Source organism: Homo sapiens, chromosome 12 (assembly GCF_000001405.40).
Source record: "Homo sapiens chromosome 12, GRCh38.p14 Primary Assembly".
NCBI classification, from domain to species: Eukaryota; Metazoa; Chordata; class Mammalia; order Primates; family Hominidae; genus Homo; species Homo sapiens.
In genome coordinates this window covers 85853502-85864544 of record NC_000012.12, presented here as the reverse complement: position 1 = coordinate 85864544, position 11043 = coordinate 85853502, and the positions used below count along the sequence as shown (strand labels likewise).

General features: G+C 39.5%; 1 annotated feature.

Annotated features, from left to right (window-relative positions):
- Positions 949 to 1082: a silencer, noted in NCBI's record as "fragment chr12:86257241-86257374 (GRCh37/hg19 assembly coordinates)". NCBI's record gives its function as "represses an EF-1alpha promoter that drives an FKBP-Casp9 reporter gene in an ReSE screen in HepG2 liver carcinoma cells {active_cell/tissue: HepG2}" and the evidence as "EXISTENCE:reporter gene assay evidence [ECO:0000049][PMID:32094911]".

The following is an 11043-nucleotide window of genomic DNA, read 5'->3' as shown; positions in this document are numbered from 1 at the left end:
ACAAGCCAGAAGAGATTGGGGGCCAATATTCAACGTTCTCAAAGAAAGAATTTTCAACCAAAATTTCATATCCAGAAAAACTAAGCTTCATAAGCAAAGGAGAAATAAAATCCTTTTCAGACAAGCAAATGCTGAGAGATTTCACTACCACCAGGCCTGCTTCGCAAGAGCTCCTGAGAGCAGCACTAAATGTGGAAAGGAAAAATCAGTACCAGCCACAGCAAAAACACACCAAAATATAAAGTCCAATGGCACCATGAAGAAACTGCATCAACTAACATGCAAAATAACCAAATAGCATCATGATGACAGGATGAATTCACACATAACAATACTAATCTTAAATGTAAATGGGCTAAATGCCCCAATTAAAAGACACAGACTGGCAAATTGGATAAAGGGTCAAGACCCATTGGTGTGCTGTATTCAGGAGACCCACCTCATGTGCAAAGACACACGAAGGCTCAAAATAAAGGGATGGAAGAAAATTCACCAAGCAAATGGAAAAAAAAAAAAAAGCAGTGGTTGCAAGGTTGCAATCCTAGTCTCTGACAAAACAGACTTTAAACCAACAAAGATCAAAAAAGACAAAGAAGGGGATTACATAATGGTAAAGGGAACAATTCGACAAGGAGAGCTAACTATTCTAAATACATATGCACCCAATACTAGAGCATCCAGATTCATAAAACAAGGTCTTAGAGACCCACAAAGAGACTTAGACTCCCACACATTAATAGTGGGAGACTTTAACACCTAACTTTCAATATTAGATCAACAAGACAGAAAATTATCAAGGATATCTAGGACTTGAACTCAGCTCTGGATCAAGTGGACCTAATAGACATTTACAGAACTCTCCACTCCAAATCAAATGAACATACATTCTTCTCAGTGCCACCATGGCCCTTATTCTAAAATCGACCACATAATTGGAAGTAAAACATTCCTCAGCAAATGCAAACAAACCGAAATCATAACAAACAGTCTCTCAGACCACAGTGCAATCAAATTAGAAATCAGGATTAAGAACCTCACTCAAAACCACACAATTACATGGAAATTGAACAACCTGCTCCTGAATGACTCCTGGGTAAATAATGAAATTAAGGCAGAAATCAAGTTTTTTGAAACCAATCAGAACAAAGAGACAATGTATCATAATCTCTGGGACACAGCTAAAGCACTGTTAAGAGTGAAATTTATAGCAGTAAATGCCTACATCAGAAAGATCGCAAATTGACACCCTAACACGACAATTAAAAGAGCTAGAGAGGCAAGAGCAAACTATTCTAAAAGCTAGCAGAAGAGAAGAAATAATCAAGATCAGAGCAGAATTGAAGGAGATAGACACATGAAAAACCCTCCAAAATATCAATGATTCCAGGAGCTAATTTTTTGAGAAAATTAACAAAATAGATAGATGGTTAGCTCGACTAATAAAGAAGAAAAGAGAGAAGAATCAAACAGACACATTAAAAAATGATAAATGGGATATCACCACCGACCCCATAGAAATACAAACTACCATCAGAGAATACTATAAACACCTCTATGCAAATAAACTGGAAAATCTAAAAGAAGTGGATAAATTCCTGGATGCGTATACCCTCCCAAGACTAAACCAGGAAGTCAAATCTCTGAATAGACCAATAACAAGTTCTGAAATTGAGGTAATAATTAGTAGCCTACCAAACAAAAAAACCCCAGGACTAGTCAGATTCACAGCCAAATTCTACCAGAAATACAAAGAGGAGCTGTTACCATTCCTTTTGAAACTATTCCAAACAATTGAAAAGGAGAGACTCTTCCCTAACTAATTTTATGAAGCCAGCATCATCCGGAATCCACAACCAGGAAAAGACACAGCAAAAAAAAAAAAAAATAATAAAATTTCAGGCCAATATCCCTGATGAACACTGATGCAAAAATCCTCAATAAAATACTGGCAAACTGAATCCAGCAGCATATCAAAAAGCTTACCCCACAATCAAGTTGGCTTCATCCCTGGGATGCAAGGCTGGTTCGACATATGCAAATCAATAAACGTAATACATTACATAAACAGAAACAAAGACAAAAATCTCACAATTATTTCAATAGATTCAGAAAAGGCCTTTGATAAAATTCAACATACCTTCATGTTAAAAACTCTCAATAAACTAGATATTGATGGAATATATCTCAAAATAATAAGAGCTATTTATGACAAACCCACACCCAATGTCATATTAAATGGGAAAAAGCTGAAAGCATTCCCTTTGAAAACTGGTACATGACAAGAATGCCCTCTCACTACTCGATCATAGTTTTGGAAGTTCTGGCCAGGACAATCAGGCAAGAGAAAGAAATAAAACATATTCAAATAGGAAGAGGAAGTTAAACTGTCTCTGCTTGCAGATGACAGGATTTCATATTTAGAAAACCCCATCATCTCAGCCCCAAAACTCCTTAAACTGATAAGCAACATCAGCAGAGTCTCAGAGTACAAAAATCAATGTGCAAAAATCACAAGCATTCCTATACACCAACAGTAGACAATCAGAGAGCCAAATCATGAATGAACTCCCATTCACAATCACTACAGAGAATAAAATACCTACGAACACAGCTAAAAAGGTCTGTGAAGAACCTCTTCAAGGAGGACTACAAACTAGTGCTCAAGGAAATCAGAGAGGACACAAATGGAAAAACATTCCATCCTCATGGATAGGAAGACTCAATATTGTGAAATGGCCATACTGCCCAAAGTAATTTATAGATTCAATGATATTCTCATCAAATTACCATTGACATTCTTCACAGAATCAGGAAAAAACTACTTTAAATTTTATATGGAATCAAAGAGGACCTCATATAACCAAGACAATCAAAAGCAAAAAGAACAAAGCTGGAGGCATCACACCACCTGACTTCACACTATCCCACAAGGCTACAGTAACCAAAACCTCATGATACTGTGTACCAAAACAGACATACAGACAAATGGAACAGAACAGAGAACTCAGAAACAACACCACACATCAACAACCATCTGATCTTTGACATACCTGACAAACAGACCAATGGAACAGAACAGAGACCTCAGAAACAACACCACACATCTACAACCATCTGATCTTTGACAAATCTGACAAAAACAAGTGATGCGGAAAGGATTTCCTATTCAATAAATGGTGCTGGGAAAACTGGCTAGCCACATGCAAAAAAGTGAAACCAAACTCCTTCCTTATATCTTGCACAAAATTTAGCTCAAGATGAATTAAAAACTTAAATGTAAAACCCCAAATCATAAAAATCCTAGAAGAAAACCTAGACAATACCTTTCAGGACATAGGCATGGGCAAGACTTCATGATGAAAATGCCGAAAGCAATGCCAACAAAGCCATAATTGACAAATGAGATCTAATTAAACTAAAAAGCTTTTGCACAGCAAAAGAAACTATCATCGGAGTGAACAGGCAACCTACAGAGTGGGGAAAATTTTTGCAATCTACCCATCTGACAAACGTCTAATATCCAGAATTTACAAAGAACTTAAACAAATTTACAGGAAGAAAAAAGCAAACAACCCCATCAAAATGTGGGCAGAGTATATAAACAGGCACTTCTTGAAAGAAGACATTTACACAGCCAAGAAACATATGAAAAAAAGCACAACATCACTGATCGTCATTAGAGAAATGCAAATCAAAACCACAATGACAAACCATCTCATGCCAGTCAGAATGGCAATTATTAAAAAATCAAGAAACAGGCCAGGTGTGGTGGCTCACGCCTGTAAATCCCAGCACTTTGGGAGGCTGAGGCAGGCGGATCACCAGGTCAGGAGATCAAGACCATCCTGGCTAACACAGTGAAACCCCGTCTCTATTAAAAACACAAAAAATTAGCCAGGGGTGGTGGTGGGCACTTGTAGTCCCAGCTACTCGGGAGGCTGAGGCAGGAGAATGGCGTGAACCTGGGAGGCGGAGCTTGCAGTGAGCCGAGATTAGCCACTGCACTCCAGCCTGGGTGACAGAGCGAGACTCCATCTCAAACATCTCAAAAAAAAAAAAAAAAAAAAAAAAAAATCAAGAAACAATAGATGCTGACGAGGCTGTGGAGAAATAGGAACGTTTTACACTGTTGGTAGGAATGTAATTTAGTTCAACCATTGTGGAAGACAGTATGGCAATTCCTCAAGGATCTAGAACCAGAAATACCATTTGACTCAGCAATCCCATTACTGGGTATATACCCAAAGGAATATAAATAATTCTACTATAAAGACACATGCATATGTATGTTTATTGCAGCACTATTTACAATAGCAAAGACATGGAACCAACCCAAATACCCATCAGTGATATAGACTGGATAAAGAAAATGTGGTATATATACACCATGGAATACTATGCAGCCATAAAAAATGGGGACATGGATGAAGCTGGAAGCCGTTATCCTCAGCAAACTAACACAGGAACAGAAAACCGAGTATCACATGTTCTCACTTATAAGTGGGAGTTGAACATTGAGAACACATGGACACAGAAGGGGAACAACACACAGCAGTGCTTGTTGAAGGGATGGGGGTGAGGGAGGGAACTTAGAGGGTGGGTTGATAGGTGCAGCAAATCATCGTGGCACACATACCTATCTAACAAACCTGCACGTTCTGCACATGTATCTGCTTTTTAAGAAGAAATAAAGAAAAACAAAATTTTTGTTTTGTTTTGTTTTTTTAAGACAGTCTCACTCTGTCTCCCAGGCTGGAGTGCAGTGGTGCAATCTCAGCTCACTGCAACCTCCGCCTCCTGGGTTGAAGGGATTCTCCTGCCTCAGCCTCCCGAGCAGCTGGGACTACAGGTGCGTGCCATCACGCCCTGCTAATTATTTTTATCTTTATTTTTAGTAGAAATGGGTTTTTACAGTGTTAGCCAGGATAGTCTTGATCTCCTGACTTCGTGATCCACCTGCCTCGGCCTCCCAAACTTCCGGGATTACAGGCGTGAGCCACTGCCCCCGGGCCACAATTTTTTTTTTTTTTTTTTTTTTCAGACAGATTCTTGCTGTCACCCAGGCTGCGACCTCTGCCTCCCAGGTTCAAGCAATTCTCCTGCCTCAGTCTCCCAAGTGGCTGGGACTATAGACGCGTCCCACCACACCCGGCTAATTTTTTGTATTTTTAGTAGAGACGGGGTTTCACCGTGCTAGCCATGATGATCTTGATCCTGACCTCGTGATCCACCCATCTCTGCCTCCCAAGGTGCTGGGGTTACAGGTGTGAGCCACCGCGCCCAGCCCACAAAGTTTTTTTTTTTATAAAAGAAAATAGAAACCAAGAAAGGCAAATCTTCCAATTTTCAGGATTTTGCACAAAATTGTATTTTATGAAAATCTTACAATCTTTAAATGCTAATCTTTAGTTCAATTTATTTACAACACTATGCAGACAAATTGGAATGTGCAGCTACTGGCCATGTGCGGTGGCTCACTCCTGTAATCCCAGCACTTTGGGAGGCCAAGGCAGGCAGATCACAAAGTTAGGAGTTTGAGACCAGCCTAGCCAATATGGTGAAACCCCATCCCTACTAAAAAAAAAAAAAAAAAATTAACTGGGCGTGGTGGCGGGCTCCTGCAGTCCCAGCTACTCGGAAGGCTGAAGCAGGAGAATCACTGGAACCCAGGAGGTGGAGGTTGCAGTGAGCCACAGCACTTCAGCCTGGGCGATAGAGTGAGATTCCATCTCAAAAAAAAAAAAAAAAAAAAAAAGTGATGTGTAGCTACTGAGTTCTGCCTCAAGGTTCACCATTTTGCTAGTTTCTCATTTAAATCCTATTTCTGTAACTTTCAGCCTCTGGCTTTAGATTTTAATTCTCTGGATCTCTCTCATCACCTGTAAAATAAAATAATAATAGTTCTCTAAAATAAAGTAATATGGATCATATTTATTCTTATATAGTATGCATATATTACAAAATGTGTTATGTAGCAGGCATTCAATAAAAGTTAGCTTACACATCCAACAGTAAACTAAACTCGCCCCTCTCATTTACTCATTTTTCCTCTTTTACTTTACATTTACATACTTTAATCTCTTTAAATCATTCCGGGATATGTTTGCAAAATCTTAAATCAGATTCCATCTCAGAGATTCTATATGAACCTTATTTCTCTTCCTTCTCTCCAAAGTTGAGCATCTTTTTGTCTCTTTGCTTTCCAATATTGAGGTCTTTTAGTGTTAGTTTCATATGTATCATTTGTCCCTCTTTGGGTTATTTTTTAACTGAGGTAAAATTTGCATCCAGTGGAAGGCATAAGTCCTAAGTATAAATGTTGATGAATTTTGACAATTGTATACATTTGTGTAATTCAAAACCCCCCCAAAATTGGGAAAATATTCACACCTGAATATTTTCTCATGCACATTCTCAGAGAATCCTCTGACATCACAGGTAAGCACTTAAATTTGCCTATTTTTAATGTTCATATAAATTGAATCCATTTTTGTATACTTTTTAAGTGAGTGTCTACTGATGTTCAATATAATGCTTTCAAGATTGCTTTATGGTACTACACATATCAGTAGTGCATACCACTTTATTGCTGAGTATTATTCCATTGTATGAATATACTGTAACTTTATTTGTTCTCCTGTGCAATTAACATTTGTGTTGTTTCTAGTTTGGAGCTATTATGAAAAAAGCTCTTATGAAACTTCCTGCACATATAAGTATTTTTCTGGACATATATTTTTATTGTTCTTGTATAAATACTTAGAATGAAAGTGCTGAGTTTTAGAGTAGGTGTATGCTCACGTTAGTAAGAAACTACCCAAAAGTTCATTATGGTGGGTCCTTTTAAAGTCCTTGCTAACATTTGGTGTTACCATTCCTTTATATTTTAGCCATTGTAGTTGTTGTAATGTGTTATTTCTTGGTCTTCAATTTCATTTTTTATGACAATGTTGAACTCTTTGTCTCATGCATAGTGGCTATTCTTTGTTGTTGTTGTTGTTGTTGTTGTTGAGACAGGGTCTCACTCTGTAACCCAGGCTGGAGTGCAGTGATGAGATCTTGGCTCACTGCAGCCTTGATTTCCTGGGCTCAAGCATGTTTCTCCCTCAGCCTCCAGAGTGGCTGGGACTACAGGAGTGTGCCATCACACCTGGCTAATTTTTGTATTTTTTGCAGAGATGGGGTTTCTCTATGTTGTCCAGGCTGGTCTCGAACTCCTCGATTCAAGCAATCCACCTGCCTCAGCTTCCCAAAATTCTGAGATTGATGGTGGTGGTGGCCCATCTGAAGCAGCTGCTGTGGGAACATCAGCTGCAGCAAGGGAGGTGCAGTTAGAGCTGTGCACTCCATGGAGCTGGCAGGAGCAGAGAGCAGGTGGGAGCACTGCTCCCTACCTAGTTGGGTGGCGGGAGGCTTGTGCTCCAGGATGCAGCAACAGCCACCCATACATGGATGGCATGTTAATGGCAGGAGACAGACAGGTTCCTGGGTGGAAAGTGGCAGGTCCCCAGTGAAATTCCACTTTCAATCCAGGTATACTCTGAATCCTGGGCCTGGGCTGCCAGTTCTGAGTAGAGTTTACTGCCCAGAGTGAGAACTTACAGTGTTTTCTCTGGGCCCACCCATGGCTGCCCATGAACCAATTAGCACACACTTCCTCCCTTCTGAGCCCATAAAAACCCAGACTCAACCGGACATTGGGACTACCACCTACATGAAGGAGCTACCCACTCCTGGTCTCCTCTCCACTGAAGGCTGCACTCAACAGTACTACCTACATGTGGAAAGGAGCTACCCACTATGAGTCTCCTCTCTGCTGAGAGCTGGGCACTTGTTGGGATGCACTGCCTGTGGAAAGGAGCTATTTTTGTAGGCTATTAGGAGCACTAATCAGAAATAATAAAAATGGTCAATTGATTCCATCAAACTTAAATACTGGCTCTTTGAAAGACATTCTTATGAAGATAGATAAGCTGCAAACTGGGAGAAAATATTTGCTGTGCATATATCTGAAAAGAGAAACCTCATAACAATAAAAAGACAGCCCAGTTAAATAATGGGCAATGATCTGAACGAACACCTTCCTAAGAAAAATATGAGTAGCCATGGCTGGGTGCAGTGTCTCACACCTGTAATGCTGTCACAGGATCCTTAGGGTGCCACTTTTCCAGCTAGAAACCTCTGTGGCCAGTGGCACCTTTGCTCTTTTGGTCTCCTGAGGGGTGTTCCTTTGCTCAGTGAAGCTCCTCTTCACCTTGCTCACCCTCCAGTTGCCCACATACCTCATTCTTTCTGGATGCAGGACAAGTACTCAGGACCCATTGAATGGCAGAACTGAAAGAGCTGTCACACAAACAGGACTGAAACACCCCCCTGCTCATAACTTTGTGGGTGACAAGAAGGAGAGAAGAGGGAAAGAGAGAAAAGCTGCAGTTGTCTTAGTTTATTTCCACACTGCTGATAAAGACATACCTGAGACTGGGAAGAAAAAGAGGTTTAATGGACTTACAGTTGCACATCGCTGGGGAGGCCTCACAATCATGGTGGAAGGAAAGGAGGAGCTAGTCACATCTTACATGGATGGCAGTGGGCAAAGACAGAGAGCTCGTGCAGGGAAACTCCCGTTTTTAAAACCATCACATCACGTCAGACTTATTCACTGTCACAAGAACAGCGCAGAAATGACCTGCCCCCATGATTCAATCATCTCCCACTGGGTCCCTCCCACAACACATGAAAATTATAAGAGCTACAAGATAAGATTTGGGTGGGGACACAGAGCCCAACCATATTAGCGGCCCTTCGGGCAACCCAGACCTAGGAGCTCCCCAAGCCAGAGCTGTGACACCCTCTTTGGGGCTCTGCAGTTCCTGGCAACCCCAAGCTTCTCGGTGCCACTGTGTTCCCTGGTCCCTGCAGTGGAAGTCAATTGCAGTGCACTTGCTTCAGCTGCAGCCTCACAGGGAGCTGGTGCCTGTGTGGTGCCTGGAGCTGCCCACCCCGTTGAATCCAACATGCCTGACTGTGTGCAGTGGCCAGACTCTGTGCTTGCTCACACAACCCTTACCACTCCACACCTGGCTCACCCTTGGCAGGCATGGGATGTGGACTGGTAGCATGAGCCGAATACAGGCTGCCAGGCCGTGTGGGCAGAACAAGCTCAGTGGGCGCAAGAAAAACTCAGGCAAAAGTGCCACCGGCCACAGAAGTTTCAAGCTGGAAAAGCAACACCCTAACCATCCTATGACAGCATTACAGGTGTGAGCCACTGCACCCAGCCATGGCTACTTTTTTATTTTTCTTTAGAAAAGAAAAATAAATGTTCAGATAATGTTCAGATCATTATCCATTGTTTAACTGGCTGCCTTTTTATTGTTGAGTTATGAGGTTTTTCTTTTCAGATATATGCACTGCAAATATTTTCTTCCAATTTGCAGCTTACCTATTTTCATAAGAATGTCTTTCAAAGAGCCAGTAGTTAAGTTTGATGGAATCAATTGACCACTTTTATTCTTTCTGATTAGTGCTCCTAATAGCCTAAGAAATCGTTGCATACCTCAATGTCACAAAAATGTTTATGTTTGCTTCTAGAAAGTTTACAATTCTAGCTTTTATAATTTAAATCCATGAAATGATCTCAAATTAATCTTTGTGCATGCTGTTGAGGTCAGGTTTTCATTTTTATATTTCATTCCTCCACATTATTTGTTAAATAGATATTGTTTCCCCATTGAGATTATTTGCTGCCTCCTTTGAAAAACCATTGATCAGATCATGTAAGTTTACTCTCTTTGAATGGTCTCTTTATGTGACCTTATGTAAATAATATAGTATTTTGATTACTGTAGCTTTGTAGTAACTTTAAAATCAACAAACTTAAGTTCCTCAGCTTTGTTTTCTGCAAAATCATGCTGGTTTCTGTTTATTCTTTACATTTCTACATACATTTTCAAATCAGGTTTTTTGTTTGTATTTTAAAAGCCTGATTTTGATTGGGATTGCATTAAATCAAATTGATTAATTTGAGATAATTGATAAGTTCAATGTATTTAGTCTTCTCATCCATTAATATAGTATATTCTCCATTACTTCAGGTCTTTTTAAACTTAACTTCTGCTGGGCATGGTGAGGCACATCAGTAGTTCCAGCTACTTTGAAAGCTGAGGCGAGAAGATCCCTTGAGCCCAGGAATTCCAGGCTGCAGTGAGCAAGTTTTATTTCTAATTGTTAATTGTTAGCATATAGACAGCAAAATTATATTTATAAATTGTCATTCTACCCTGCAATGTTGTTAAATTCATTGATTAGATCTATTAGCTATGTCTTTGTAGATTCCCTTGGATTGTCTACCTAAACAACCATACTGTATGCAGATAAAGACACTTCTTTTTTCTTTCTTTCTAACCCATAAGTCATTTAGTTATTTGTTGTTGTTTCTTGCTGAATTGGCTAACACTTCCAGTACAAAGGTGTTGATCAAGTGGTGAGAGCAGAAATCCTTGTCCGATTTCTGATTTTAAGTGGAAGCAGTTAGTATTTTACAATTAAGCATTATACTAACTGTAGTTTTTCTTTGTATTTCTAGTTTGCTGATAGGTTTTTATTTTTAAATCATAGATGGGTGCTTAATTTTATCAAATGTTTTTGCCACATGTATTAAGATTATCATATGAATTTTGTCCTTTCTTTTTATTATTTTGATAATGGTTTCAGCTAATTTTTAAAATGTTAAATCAACATTATATTGTTGGGATAACAGCATAATGTCATGTCTTATACTATTTATATAATGTAGAATATATTTTGTACTTTGTTAAGGATTTTTACTTGTCTTTTCATAAGAGATTGTGTTCTGTGCTATTTGTTCCTTGAAATATATACAACTAATATTCATATCATAATTAGTCTGGCCTCAAAATTATTTGGGAAGTGATCTCTTTTCTTTTATAGCTGAAACATTTGTGTAAGACTGGTATCATTGCTTTACCATTAGTTAGAGTCTACCAGTGAAAATATCTTGGCCTGGTGGGAAAGTTTAGACTT